At 39.0% G+C, this 16,196-nt stretch overlaps 1 protein-coding gene across 3 annotated transcripts in view; it reads left to right on the top strand.

The window, feature by feature from the left end:
- ZNF182 (zinc finger protein 182) overlaps positions 1-10,915 on the top strand; it is a 29,139-nt gene extending 18,224 nt beyond the window's left edge. For all 3 annotated transcript variants that reach the window (NM_001007088.2, NM_006962.2, NM_001178099.2), the window contains 3 exons: positions 2,355-2,481; positions 2,728-2,817; positions 7,969-10,915. In NM_001007088.2, coding sequence (NP_001007089.1) covers positions 2,355-2,481; positions 2,728-2,817; positions 7,969-9,599 — 1,848 coding nt within the window. In that variant the 3' untranslated portion in view covers positions 9,600-10,915. The remainder of the gene's footprint in view (positions 1-2,354; positions 2,482-2,727; positions 2,818-7,968) is intronic.

Raw genomic sequence — 16,196 nt, 5'->3', positions numbered from 1 at the left:
AGGAACAGGAAGCAAAAATTTTGCTAGTGGGTCACTAGGGGTGATGGTGAATGGTGCCACTTCCACTTCCACACCTTGATTCAACTTAAGGGTTCTCGGTATACACTCAGGTTTAATAATTTGGTAGAATGACTCATATAACTCAGAAAAGTACATGCTTATGATTACAGTTTTGTTATAGCAAAAAGATACAAGTAGAACCAACCAAAGGGAGTGATGCATAGGGTAAGGTCTCAGAGGGTCCCAGCCATGAAGCTTCTGTTGTTCACTTTCATGTCACCCTCCCAGCACATTGAGATGTGACAATATGCACAGTATTGCTGACCAGGGAAGTAGTATTGTTGACAAGGAAAATATAGATATATTTTCAGTCTTTGTAGTTTTTATTTACCATAAATGTAATATATAAATGTAATCATGCAGTATGCAGCCTTTTGAGTCTGGCTTCTTTCACTTAGCATAATACATTTGAAGTTCATCCATGTCGTTGCATAAATCATTAGTTCTCTCATTTTTATTGCCAAGTGGTATTACATTGTATGGAGGATTCCAGGTTGTTATCCATTCACTGGTTGGAAAACCTTTGATATGTTTCTAGGTTTTGATCATTAAAAATGTAGTTGCTATATAAATGTTCATGTACAGGCTTTTAGGTTTACCTAAGTTTGCATTTCACTGAGGTAAATAAACGTGGGAGTGGGATTGCAGGGTTGTAAGGTAGATATACATACATATTCATTCCTGCTTATGACAGGAGAGGTGCAGTTGCTCTACATCCTCACCAACACTTAGTATTGTCAGTTTTTTCCCCATTCTAATAGGTGTGTAGTAGTATCTCATTGTGGTTTTAATTTACAGTTCCCTCATGCCTAATGATGTTGAGCATCTTTTTATGTGCTTATTTGCCATCTGTTTATCTCCCATGGTGAAGTATCTCTTTTGCCCACTTTGTTTTAATTTTGAAAGTTTTTTTTATATATTCTCAATAAAAGTTATTTGCCAGATATTTGATTTGCAGATATTTTCTTCCATTCTGTGTCTTTTTAATCTCTTAACAAGTGATTTTTGAATTTTGGTGTCACATCTAAGAAATATTTGTCTAACCCAAGGTTAAAAAGAGTTTCTTCAATCTTCGAGTTTCGAAGCAGGTGAACCTGCTTCACAACATGCAGTTCATTCATTTTCATTACTATACAGCATTCCATTGAATGATTGTGCCACAATTTACCCATTCTACTGTTGATGGACATTTGGATTTTATCTGTGATCTAGTATTAGAAATAGTGCTGCTATGAACATCCTTATATTTGTTTTCTAGAGCACATATGCCTGATTTTCTCTAAGATGTGTACCTAGGAGTAGAATTGCTGGGTCATGGTATATGCAAACCATTAACCTTTGTAAATAATGCCAAACTGTTACCAAAGCGATTATACCAGTTTATATTCCTGCTAATAGTGTGTAAGAGTTCTCATTTCAACACAATATTATGTTATTTTAGTCTGTTTAATTATAACCTTTCTTGTGGGTGTATAGTGGTGTCTCAATGTGGCTTAATTTTTCACTTACCTGATTGCTAATGGGGTTGAGTACATTATCTTGTGTTCATAGATCATTTGGTTTTGCTTTTCAGTGAAGTACCTATTCACTTCTCTTATCCATTCTTTTGTGTGTGTTTCTTATTGATTTGAGGGGATTATTTTATATATTCTACATACGATACCTTATCCCTCATGAATATTGCCAGCAATTTCCCCATCTGTGGCTTGCCTTTTCATTGTAGTACTTTTGATCTTATAACACTTGTCTTTTCCTTTATGAGGAGTGCTTTTCATGTTTTGTTATAGAATTGTTTCCCTACTCCAAAGCTTATGAAAACATTTTCCTGTATTATTTTATAGACACTTAATTGGTTACCTCTCACATTAGATTTACGATTTACCTGTAGCTGATTTTTATGTGTGGCTAGAGGGGTTAAATTTCATTTTCTCCATATAGATATCTAATAACCCATCCACATCTATTGAAAAGGTCATCTTCTCCCTACTGCTTTACTGTGCCAACTTTGTCATAAATCAGGTGTCCATACATGTTTGGATTCTCTTTTTAGTTCCACTGGACTGTTTGTCTGTCCTTGTGCTGATAATGACATTGTCTCAAGTATTCTCTTACTTAGTTTTTTTTTAACCATGATTTGTGATTCTCCCACAAAGTAGATCACTAACTTGATATGAAATAGGCATCCAATATTGAGTCATCATGATGAACCAGGAACCCAATCAGAAGTTCCCGTGCATTTTATCCTCATCATCTAGTGGTCAGCATTTTAAAATAAAAGGAATGTACCATTACAGGGGCTAGTGACATTTGAAGATGTAGCTGTGGATTTCACCCAGGAGGAGTGGCAGTACCTGAACCCACCACAGAGGACCCTGTACAGAGACGTGATGCTGGAGACCTACAGCAACTTGGTCTTTGTGGGTAAGAATAGCTTCCTTAGGTAATTTTGCAGTTTATGATTATTGCATCCAATGGAAGGCATTTCCTTTCTCAGTTCCCTCTTTTCTCTCCTGAAAAAGTGTTTGTGAGCTCAAAATGCAGGTTAAATGGTTTGACTTTACCATTATGTCAAGCAATAGATTCCTTGTGCTGCCCCCAATATGTAACTTCTTCTGTCTCAGAGGCTCTGAAAGCCAAGGAGGTATCACTGTCATTTCTCATCAACAGGGCAGCAGGTTACCAAACCAAACCTCATCCTCAAGTTGGAGGTAGAAGAATGCCCGGCAGAAGGAAAAATCCCATTTTGGAACTTTCCAGGTAAGTGGAATTTTGACCCAGGCTCTGGGGACATGAAGTTCCACCCTATTAGTCAGAGGTGAGGCCCTCTGACAGGGCTTTCAGGAATATCTTAGGAAAAGGTTCTGGCCCTTGGCACTGTTGGAGGACAGGGACATGAACACCTCAGACACAAAACTGACACTCCCGCTGTCCCCCATACACCAGGCCACTCTCCTTAAGTTGGTGCTTACCTGCAAGTTTCTGCACAGTTCCTTTTGTCCCGTATGAAAGAGTCTTTTAAATGCCACAACCCCCTGGCCTTGCCACTTTCACGACTCTCACCTGTCACCGACTTATATAAAGCCAGGCCCACGTTAGTCACAGGCCTGGACTCTAATGCTCTAATTTCAGATTGAACAACCTGAGTCCAGTCTTCTCATTCAGTTTAGATATTTGTCAGATTTGCTCTCCTAAAACATCTTATCTATTTTTTAAAAGTAGCTTTATTGAGATATAATTCACATATCATAAAATTCACCCTTTTGAAGTACAGAATTCAGTAGTTTTTAGTATATTCACAGAGTTGTACAACCATCACCACTACCTAATTCTAGAACGTGTTCATCACACTGAAAAGAAGCCCCTACTCCCTAGCAGTCATTCTCATCCCTCTTCCCCTCACTCCCTGGCAACCACTGATCTATTTTGTCTCTATGGTTTTGCCTGTTCTGGACATTTTATTTAAATAGAGTCAGACAAAATGTGGCCTTTTATGTCTGGTTTCTTTCACTTGGCATGTTTTCAAGGTTCATCCGCATCGTACCATGTATCAGTACTTCATTCCTTTTTATGGAGGAATAAAATTCCATTGTTAGGATAGAACACATTTTGTTTGTCCATTCATCAATTGATGGAAATTTTGCTTGTTTCAACCTTTTGGTTATTATGGATAATGGTGCTGTGAACATTGATGTACACATTTTTTGTGGTGATATATGTTTTGTTTCTTTTGGGTAGATACATAGGATTGGAATTATACCATGTGGTGGTATAAAAGGAACTGTATGTTTAACTTTTTTTTTTTTTTTGAGACAGAGTCTTGCTCTGTTGCCCAGGCTGGAGTGCAGTGGTGTGATCTTGGCTCACTGCAACTTCTGCCTCCTGGGTTCAAGCAATTTTCCTGCCTCAGCCTCCCGAGTAGCTGGGACTACAGGTGCATGTCACCACACCCAGCTACATTTTTGTATTTTTAGTAGAGATGGGGTTTCACCGTGTTAGCCAGGATGATCTCGATCTCCTGACCTTGTGATCCACCTGCCTTGGCCTCCCAAAGTGCTGGGATTACAGGCGTGAGCCACCGTGCCCGGCCCCACTGGAATAATTCTATAAAGAGAAATTGCTTCTTATCTATTATTTGGCTACCATGAGTTACATATTGTACAGAAAAGACAGGCTCAGTGATTGAGCTTTTCCATTTATTTACTAGTTTTCAAAATAATTGATTTTGTAGCATCATCCAAAGGTGACCACTAAGTTATATCTTTTTGTGACTCATTTATGGACTTATGGCTGTATACATTTCTATGTTTTAATCCATTGTCTTATTTTCCATGTTACACATGACACTGTCCCATCTTTGGCCAGTGGAATCTCCTTCAAGTTGGCTCCTGAGTCTTTGGTAGCTTCCTTGCTTTCTGGTGTTACAACATGTCCCAGGCTCCTTTTGTATATTTCCTGCCTCTGACCTAGAATTGGTGATTTCTTCAAGGGGCTCTGGTTCTTTTTAGTGGAAAATAATGTTTTAAGCCCACGATTTAGAGGTTAGAGAATTGTTTTGAGGCCTTTTCATTGACAAAGCTAGGAACTATTATGTATACATTTTTTACAGAAAAAATATCTCATGTTCAAATTAATATTTCCAAATCAAATTTTGCGCTTAAAGGTTTTTAATTTATGAATCTTACATCTGACAGTAGTATTGTTAGTATTCTTCTTGAGGCTGTTGCTTGTGTATAGCGAGTTGAATGAATTGAGGTAATCATTTTGGTGCCATTGAGAATCAAGACTTTCCAGCATGGTCATTAGGAAACGCAGCAGAAAGAATATTTACTATTTTTAAGGAATCCTTTTATGTTCAGTTTTGCTTTATGATTATATAAAATAGTTACAAAAGATTTATTGGTTCCAAAGTCCAACACAGAAAACAAGGTATATTCAGAAAAGTCCAGCTTCTTTCCCTTTCCATTCCATTCCCTTCGTTCCTTCCTTCCTCATAGGTAACCTTTATTAAAATTTAAAGGTTTATTCTTCCATCACTTTTTACAACATGAGCCTATAAGAATATATATTTATTCATTTCCTACTATGCACAGTTTTTTAAACATTTTAAAAAGTTTTACTTTTAGTTGACACATAATTGTACATATTTATGGAGTATGGTGTGATGTTTTGATACATATATACAGTGTGTCATGATCAAATTAGGGTAATTAGTATATTCATCACATCAAATATTTGTTTCTTTGTGGGGAGAACATTCAAAATCTTTTCTTTTAGCTATTTTGAAAGATACACTATATTGTTAACTATAGACACCCTGCTGTGCAATGTAACACGGAAACTTATTCCTCCTATCTAACTATATCTTTGCACCCATTTACCAACCTTTCCCTATCCTCTCCTCCCCTCTTCACCTCCCAGTGTCTGGTCACTATTCTACTCTCTACTTCTATGAGAGTAACTCCTTTAGCTCCCATATATGAGTGAGATCATGCAGTATTTGTCTTTCTGTGCCTGGCTTATTTCACTTAACATAATGTCCTCCAGGCTTATCCATGTAGCTGCAAATGACAGTATTTAATTCCTTTTTATGGCTGAACAGTATTCCATTGTGTAAATAGATGACATTTTCTTTATCCGTTGATATTCCTTGATGGACACTTAGGTTTGATTCCATGTCTTATAACACCTTTCTTGCTTCCTTCAAACCTCCACTCCAAGTTGTTTTTCCCTCTCTTTTAGCAAATGATCTCATCTCATTCCTTGCTATAAAAGAAGCAAAGTGATGAAACTTATACCATAACACACACACACACACACACACACACACACACACACACACCCCACACACACTTTAAAAACCCTTCAGCTTCCCTCTCCTATGGCTCAAAATAACCTCCAGCATCACCCAGTTTTTCCCTTTGTTTCCTGCCTCAGGTAACAGTGTATGCACAGTTTTATTCACCATTTTTCACTTAATATTCTAGAACATGTTAAATATATAAATATACTCTTTCTTTTTACAGTAATGTGGTGATTCTTAAAAGTCATAATAGTAGTAGTTGTAATAGTAGTAGTGGTGGTAAATGATTTAAAGTACTTCCTGTGTACCCTGCAAGCCCTGTTGTAAGTAATTTAATTCTCTCAACATCCATTTGGGTGGGCACTGTTATAATTCCTTTATGGGTGGAGAAGTAAGATACAAATAGTTTAGATCACTTGCCTGAGGTCATAGACCAAGTGAAAGGTTGAGCCAGGATTTTCTCCTGGGCTAGAGAGCCCAGGACCCTAACCACATGGGCCAAACTGCTTCTTACCACCTAAGAAGGTTCAGATTCAGCAGATCTTTGGTGGAGCTTGGGTCCCATGGAGAGCATTTTGTAAAAAGTTCCTCATGTGATTTTGTGTTCATCTCTGGTTAAGAACTAATGCTTAGCTAGCCAAAGAAAGGAAGTCACAGGAAGAAAAACCACAGCTGCACAATCCATGTTAAAATTCAGTATCACTATAGCAAAATGTTAACACTATTGAATCTAAGTGGTAATATGAGTAGTTACTGTACTCTTCTTTCAACTTTTTCTATGCTTGAAAATTTTCATGTAAAAATTTGGGGAAAAGTAAGAAGAAAAGTAAACTATAAAAAAAGATTTAAAATTCACCATATGTACAAAAAGTACTTGCCATATCTTATTAACTTCAAGATGCCATAGATTTAAAGACATACCACTAAGAAAGAAAAATTGCCACCAGTTAACCTATGACATTGATTGTAAGATGCATCTGGATTCAGAGATGTTAAAATGTGAAATAATGTGCTGCTTGCAATTGATGAAATTAAAGGCAAAGCTTTGCAATTTTAACTGTTTAAATGAGTGATACAGATGACTGACTACTTTAGAAGTTAATAAAAATTTAAGTTATATAGGAAGATCAGAGTAAGCTTTTTAGAAAAGACTGACCTGCCTCTTGAAAGTTATCTAGATTCTGAATATAGCAAAATATGGAACACAGGGCTATGTGGGTGATGGAACATGAAGAAGGGTTTGGAGTACAGAATAGGCAGAGGTTTTAGTGGAAATCGTATAGGCAGGAGCAGAGAAGGTAGTGTTGAAGAACTGTGAATGCAAGCTTTGATGGATACACGGGTGAACCCAGACTGGGCAAATATTTTTAGCTTTTTGTTTTTGTCAAGCTAACCATTCTGTATTTTTCTTTCATTCATTGAGAATGTGGATTCAGTGTTAACTATTGTAACACATGAGTCTGGGAATCATGCTGTTGCATTTCCACCTAGACAGAAATTCTGTAAGTCAGGTACAGTTAAGACTTCATATGATACTGGCCAGGTGTGATGGCTCACACTTGTAATCCCAGCACTTTGGGAGGCTGAGGCGGGAGGATTGCTTGAGACCAGGAGTTTGAGACCAGCCTGGGCAACATAGTGAGACCTTGTCTCTACAAAAAAATACAAAAATTAGCCAGATGTGGTGGCTCGCGCTTGCAGTCCCAGCTACTCAGGAGGCTGAGGTGGGAGGATCGCTTGAGCTCAGGAGGTCAAGGCTGCAGTAAGCTGTGATTTTGCCCCTAAACTCCAGCCTGGCAACAGAGCTGAGATCCTGTCTCTTAAAAAAAAAGTTTATATGATAACTGAAGATCAAGGGTATAAGTTTCGCAGAGTTGATAGAAGTCAGGTATGATGTATAAATAGACGTAAGAAAGACTGAGGTGTCAGGGTAAGATTGTTCTTGGTAACAAAAAGACCAGCAGGTGAGAGTTTAGTAAAAAACTCTCTCTCCAGGAACTCTGATAAAATGAGATTATAGTATCAGCTTTCATATGGCAGAATAATTCTAAAGAAGGTCCGCTCCATAATGTCAAAGCATAAAGGTGGTTTATTGTACTTCTTTCTAGAAGTCTGTCAAGTTGATGAACAGATTGAGAGGCAACATCAGGATGACCAAGATAAATGTCTGCTGATGCAAGTTGGATTTTCTGACAAGAAAACAATTATCACCAAGAGTGCTCGTGACTGTCATGAGTTTGGAAACATACTTCATCTGAGTACAAACCTTGTTGCTTCAATACAAAGACCCGATAAACACGAATCATTTGGAAATAATATGGTAGATAATTTAGACTTATTTAGTAGAAGTTCTGCAGAAAATAAATATGATAATGGATGTGCAAAATTGTTCTTCCATACTGAGTATGAGAAAACAAATCCTGGAATGAAGCCCTATGGCTATAAAGAGTGTGGGAAAGGTCTTAGGCGAAAGAAAGGCCTTAGTCTACATCAGAGAATTAAAAATGGAGAGAAACCCTTTGAATGTACTGCATGTAGGAAAACCTTCAGCAAGAAGTCACACCTCATTGTACATTGGAGAACTCATACGGGAGAGAAACCTTTTGGATGTACCGAATGTGGAAAAGCTTTTAGCCAAAAATCTCAGCTCATTATACACTTGCGAACTCATACAGGAGAGAGACCCTTTGAGTGTCCTGAATGTGGAAAAGCCTTCAGAGAAAAGTCAACTGTCATCATACATTACAGGACTCACACAGGAGAAAAACCTTATGAATGTAATGAATGTGGAAAAGCCTTCACTCAGAAGTCCAACCTCATTGTCCATCAGAAAACCCACACTGGAGAGAAAACCTATGAATGCACTAAATGTGGAGAATCTTTCATACAGAAGCTTGATCTAATTATACATCATAGTACCCATACAGGAAAGAAACCCCATGAATGTAATGAGTGTAAGAAAACTTTCAGTGATAAGTCAACTCTCATTATACACCAGAGAACTCATACGGGAGAGAAACCTCATAAATGTACTGAATGTGGGAAGTCTTTCAATGAGAAGTCAACCCTCATTGTGCATCAAAGAACTCATACAGGAGAGAAACCCTATGAATGTGATGTGTGTGGAAAAACCTTCACGCAAAAGTCAAACCTTGGTGTACATCAGAGAACTCATTCAGGAGAGAAACCCTTTGAATGTAATGAATGTGAGAAAGCCTTCTCTCAGAAGTCCTACCTCATGCTGCATCAGAGAGGTCATACAGGAGAGAAACCTTACGAGTGCAATGAATGTGAAAAAGCATTTTCACAGAAATCATATCTCATTATACATCAAAGAACTCATACAGAAGAAAAACCCTATAAATGTAATGAATGTGGCAAAGCCTTCAGAGAAAAGTCAAAGCTCATTATACATCAGAGAATTCATACAGGAGAGAAACCTTATGAATGTCCTGTGTGTTGGAAAGCTTTTAGCCAGAAGTCACAGCTCATAATACATCAGAGAACGCACACGGGAGAGAAACCCTATGCATGCACTGAGTGTGGCAAAGCCTTCCGAGAAAAGTCAACATTCACTGTACATCAAAGAACTCATACTGGAGAGAAACCCTATAAATGTACAGAATGTGGGAAAGCCTTTACCCAAAAATCAAACCTTATTGTACATCAGCGAACCCATGCAGGAAAGAAAGCCCATGGAAGAGGCCACACTCGGAAGTCAAAGTTCATGGCACATTAGAGAGCTAATCAGCAGTATCTATTATGGACACTGAAAGAAAGTTGTGTCAATTTTACTCACATTTTAAAAGTATATTTTGACTTGTGGTTTAAATATGGGAGTAAATTCAGCCTTTCTTCTTTTCATCTCAGTCATAACCCAAAAGCTACGGGAGAAAAAGCAGAAGTGTAATCTCTGTATCTGACAAAATTAGGAGACAGCTGCAACCCTAATGAGAGGGCTGCCACAGGCAGAGGAAATGAAGCACTGGTGCAGGAGATTTCAGAGTGAGAGTGCTCAAGGCTGCAGGTGCAAGACAGCACTGGTAAGGACTCTTAGCTGAGGTTCGGGATATACCCCGAGGCGCGGAACCATAGATATAACAGTGGTAACAGTGCGTGGGCAGGTAGGAGGTAGGATGTTTCCTAGACCATTTGGGGTCTGAGGAGAAACAGGCTGGGGCCTCGAGAAGGAGTCACTCAGACAAGCCATATTTTTAGAAAGTAGTCTACTGATGGGAGCAACAGTTATGGCATGCTGGGGGAAGAGAAGGGACTTTTCCTTGTGAAGAGCCCTACAGCTGCCCCTATTTACTGACTTGGGAGAAGTAAAGTCAGAAAGAACGAACAGCTGTGGGGGGAAAAAATTCTCAGTTGTCAAAAAAAAAAAAAACTGATCTGCTTAGAATGTGGCCCTGGTTTCTTTTCCCACATGAACCTCCAGCAAATAGCAAGTCCAGGAAAAACTCTTCTCATTCAAAGAGGAATTATTCAAAAGTAATCAAAACCACAAATGCATTTGGTTTTTGGGCCAGCAATTCCACTTCTAGGAATGTACATACTCACACATGTACAAAATGATGAACATACAGTATTCATTAATGCAGCGTTTGTGAAAACAAAAGATTGGAAGCTGTTTAAATGACACCATATCAGGGTTCTGGTTCCCTAAATTGTGGTATATTCATACAGCCTACTCCTGGGTAGACAACAATGAATAAATAAGGAGAACTTGGAAACCATTTATGTAGTGATGTGGGATAACCTTCAGTTTATGTTATTAGGTAGGAAAAATAAGGTTGAGGACAGTGACTGCCATTTGTATATAAAAAGGAGAAAAATGGTAAGTACATAATTGTGAATTCATAAGTTATCTCTGGAAAGAGACATGAGAACCTGGTAACCCTGATTACCTTGGGAGGGGAAGGGGCAGTGGTGGCTGGGGGGATGGAATTGAGAGGGAGACAACTGTATCCTTTCATAGCTTTTGAAAATGTGGGTGTACTATGTACTATGTGGATGTACTACCTTTTCAAAAATAAAACATTTAAAAAGCTATTTTGTTTTACTGTTATAGTAAAGTCACAGTCTAGGTACAGGATTTTATAACATTTAATATAGATATGCTCAATGTAGAGTTTATTTTTGGTGAATAAATTGAAGAACCAAGCAGATAGAACAACAGTTATTCAATCAATTCCAGAGGCACATAGGCATTATTTTCCTGAGGTTGCCAAATGAAGTGATTCTCCGGTCAGCTGGGACCACATTAGGTAACTAAAATAATTGAGACTGGAACATGCATAGTGACATCTGTGAAAAGATCCTGTACTAAAGCCCACCGAGGACTTTCCATATCTTAACGAAATTATTTTTATTACATCATTCATACAAACGCTTTTTACAAGTGCTGCAAAACACGAATCCATAGAGAGGTTGAATAACTTGCTTCTCTAAGGTTGCTCTAGTGCTGGCGATACATATTTTCCAAGGTGATAGACAGATTGAGAGTGATGGTCTGAATGGACATAGTCAAAGCCCACATAACAGGACATTTGCTTCAGAACGAGAGGTCCTGCTTGTGAATTACTGTATTTGTGGCCCTCATGCTTCTGTGGCTTTTCACTGGGGCCATCTCTTTGCTGGAACTGGACAACTTAAGCTGTGAAAAACTAGGGATGGGCAATGTTTGGATTTATCAAAATGGGTGGGTGAGTTAGACCTGAGACCCTGCCTGTGCCCTTTCGGGCCTTCTTTTTACCCTGAGTAATCCTGCAAGGAAACAAGCCGTGGGCTCACTTTATGAACTATTTAAGGTAAACCTATCACATTCAGTGCCTTTCCAGGGAGAGGAAACGTGGGGCAGACTGGCTTGCTCCTGGTGCAGTCTCCTTGAAAGATGCCCAAGGGCACTGGAAATAAAGCTATTTTTCCTTTCTACTTATAGAGAATCTTGCTAGGGTTTCAGGTCCATTGAAGGCCATCCTATAGTGGGGTGGGGGTGAGGGTCAGATCTCACCATTTCAGGTAGATCTTGGACTCCTGCTTCCTGGGACACAAATGGCAAGCTGATGGCCCACATGTGGGTGAATGGAGGTGAGTGAAGCACAGACAGGGGAATGGATGGAGATGAACATCAGCATGTGAATAAAAGGATTGGGATTGGAGGAAGAGAGAGGAGGGCAATGAAGGGCTAAGTGGGGAGTGAATGGAGTAAAGAGGGGCAGAAGGGTGGTGAACAGGGAAGAGTAGGGCGAAATGGGGGAAATATCCAGTGTTGTGAGTTACTGGAGAAGAAACAGTTGAGTGTAAGTAAACATGAGTAGTGTTGGGGAGAGAAGGAGGGAGTAGACTGGCAGTGAGTGGGTGCAGAGTGGAGGAAATTGGGAGTGATATGAGGCACAGTGTGAATGACAGTGGTTAATGGGGTTGGGTGAAGAGCAGTGCAGGAAAGTGGCAAAGCATGGCATGACGCTAATGAATGAAGAGGGGAAGAATGCCGGGCAGTCAAGGTGGGAAGACTGTGCTGGAATGGGAGGCACTCTGTGAGGTGAGTGATGGGGATCTGTGGTGTCAGAGGTTATAGGTTCTTGGGGTCTCAGTGATGCATGACCTTGCGTTGGTGGTGATGGGGAGTTGGGTGGAGGTGGGAGGTGATCCCTGGGGTTTCTGCACAAAGAGGAGCTGCGCTGAAGACCCTGTAGTGACCACAGGTGTATGGGATGGGATCAGCCTGTGTTCTAGACAGTGCTCAATGAATGTCACTTCTGTGTTCCATTCCTGATGTGGTTTGGATCTGTGTCCCCATCCAAATCTCATGTTGAATTGTAATCCCGTGTTGGAGGAGGGGTCTGATGGGAGGTGATTGGATCTTGGGGGTGGAGTTCTCATGTATGGTTTAGCACCATCCCGCCTTGGTACCATATAGTTAGTGACTTCTGGTGAGATCTGGTCGTGTAAACGTGTGTAGCACCTTCTTCCTTTCTTCCTCCTGCTCCTGCCATGTAAGATGCCTGTTCCCTCTTTGCCTTCTGCCATGAGTAAAAGCTCCCTCAGGCCTCCCTGGAAGCAGATGCTTCCATGCTTCCTGTACAGCCTGCAGAACAGTAAGCCAACTTAACCTTTTTTCTTTATAAATTACCCAGTCTCAGGTATTTTAGCAGTATGAGAACAGACTAATACAATCTCCTTGCCATTGTTACTTATATATACTCAGAGGGGGAGAGGGCCCACTGCAAGAGGTGTCCCTGACACCGCCCCCAAATCAGCTCTGTTGTGCCCCCTTGGCCAGCCCTAACTCCCACCCCCACATCTATTTATGCCAGTTACTTAATTTGTCTTACTGCTTTAGCTAAAATGTCTAAAATAAAATTAATTATGGTCCTTCTTCACCTTGTTCTTAGGGCTCCCGAAACTATCCTGGATTCCTAAGATCAGCCCTGTGTCCCTTGATTGACCCTATAACCACCCAGATCAATACTGGGCCCCCAATATTTTAGCCAATTATTTCATATTATTGTCCTATTTCTTTAGGTAAACTCCAAACTTTGAATTATGATCCCTTCTCACTTTATCCTTTGGGGTCTGTTAATGTGAGAAGTTCCCTTGATACAATGATAGTCTTCAATATGCGACCAGGCAAGCTACCCTAGAAGTCTCAGAATAGAAAGGCTCACAGACCAAATTAAAATGCTTTAGTCAGGCCGGATGTAGTGGCTCACGCCTGTAATCCTGGCACTTTGGGAGGCCAAGGCAGGTGGATTGCTTGAGGTCAGGAGCTCAAGACCAGCCTGGCCAACATGGTAAAACCCCGTCTCTACTAAAAATACAAAAGTTAGCTAGGTGTGGTGGCACATGCCTGTAGTCCCAGCTACTCAGGAGGCTGAGGCAGGAGAATTGCTTGAACCCAGGAGGTGGAGGTTGTAGTGAGCCGAGATTGCCCCCAGCCTGGGTGACACAGTGAGCCTCTGCCTCAAAAAAAATAAAATGAAATAAAATGGTTGAGTCACATGGCTTATTAAATCAATTTTTTTGAAAAATGCAAATATATATACATATCCATATATACACACATGTATATACATATGTATACATATACACACATGTATATACATATACACACACGTATATGCATATGTATACATATACACACGTATATGCATATGTATACATATACACACGTATATGCATATGTATACATATACACACATGTATATGCATATGTATACATATACACACATGTATATGCATATGTATACATATACACACATGTATATGCATATGTATACATATACACACATGTATATGCATATGTATACATATACACACGTATATGCATATATATACATATACATATGTATACATATACACGTGTATATACATATGTATACATATACACACGTGTATATACATATGTATACGTATACACACGTGTATATACATATGTATACGTATACACGTGTATATACATATGTATACGTATACACGTGTATATACATATGTATACATATATACATATAGGACAGATATGTATACGTATACATACATATATGTATATATATGTGTATATATATACACGAAGAAGCAAAGAGATGGAGTAAGTTGACAGACTTAGGAGAGGGTACAAACAGGATGAAGGACTACATTTCCTGAGTCCTGTGTTATGCAATATTCATAGACCCTGCCTCTGTCTCTGTCTGTCTCTGTTCCATCAGCCTTATTGGTTATGAGGGCCAGAGTTGAGGTTTGAAAAAGGGCCCCATTCAGACTGAAGGTGCTCAAGGTCAATGACATACCTTGCTTACCTCAGCTTATAGCTTACCAATTAGCCTGAACAGTGATGGGTTTTATCTGTGTTCAGTGGAACAATACTAAGTGTCACCAGTTGGTGGTTAATTTAAGTATAATATAACCAAGGTGGTAGGATACCTTATGAGTTGGTGTTCCTGTCCCTTTCTATCTATAAGTAATATCCTTGTTTGTTCTATCATATTCTATGTATTCTATTTATCTTTAGTGCATCTTACAAGTTACTTGCTTGCTAACTATAACACATCTTATGAATTTTGCCTGTCTCAAAAGCTACTTGTTTACTTATCTATACTTCACACATCCTGTGCATTTTCTTCATGTTTCATAAGTGTCTAGCTTACTTACTATCTATGCTTAGCACTTCTTGTGAGTTTCCTCCTTCACATTTGTTTTCATGACCTCTAGAGGACAAACAATAGCAAAAATCAAAGCTAGTTCTCTAAAAAGATTAATATATGCAAGAAACTCTAGACTGATCAACAAATAAAATACAAATTTTCAAATGTCCATAATAAATGTCCATCACTACAGATTCTATAAACATTAAAAGGACAGGGAATTATGAAAAATATGCCAATAAATTTAAAAATGTCAATGTAATTAATAATACAATTTAATGATATTGTGTTGGATGTATATGAATATATGAATTCATATATTCATAATAATAAATTATATAATCTTAATTTCTCTAAAGAGAAAGGGATTTGAGAAAAATCAACACAATATAAATTCTTAGCAAACTAGAAGTAGAAGAGAACTTCCTTAGCCTGATGAAGGGTGTGTTTAAAAGACGCATGGCAAAACTTAATGGTAACATGGAAAAAATTTCCTCCTGAGATTGGAAATGAGACAAGGACACCTGGTATGCTCACTTCTAATCAACATCGTACTGGAGGTCTGAGGCAGTGCATTAACACAAGAAAAAGAAAATGAGTAATGACTGGAAGTGAATAAATAAGGCTTTCAATTTCTGCAGATGATGTGTACATAGAAAAATCCAAAGCATCTATAGATAAATTGTTAGAATTAATAAGTGAATTTAGCAAAATTGCTAAATATAAGTTCAAACTATAGAAATTGTTTTTCTTTGCATCAGCAACAAACAACTAGAAAACAAAAACAGCTGATATGGTTTGAATTTATGTCCCCACCCAAATCTCATGTCGAATTGTGATCCCCAGTGTTGGAGGAGGGACCTGGTGGGAGGTGATTGGATCATGGGAGTGGATTTCCCCCTTGCTGTTCTTGTGATAGTGAGTGAATTCTCATGAGATCTGGTTGTTTAAAAGTGTGTAGCACCTCCCCCTGTTCTCTATTCCTCCTGCTCCAGCCATATAAGATGTGCCTCTTTCCTCTTCGCCCTCTGCCATGATTGTAAGTTTCCTGAGGCTTTCCCAGACATGCTTCTTGTACAGCCTGTGGAACTGTGAGTCAATTAAACCTCTTTTCTTTATAAATTACCCAGTCAGTTCTTTGTAGCAGTGCGAGAGTAGACTAATACAACACCATAACTTCAGTTTGGGGG

This window comes from Homo sapiens, chromosome X, assembly GCF_000001405.40.
Source record: "Homo sapiens chromosome X, GRCh38.p14 Primary Assembly".
Lineage (NCBI taxonomy): Eukaryota > Metazoa > Chordata > Mammalia > Primates > Hominidae > Homo > Homo sapiens.
Note: the sequence above shows the minus strand (reverse complement) of the source record. Positions and strands in the feature narration are given on the sequence as shown.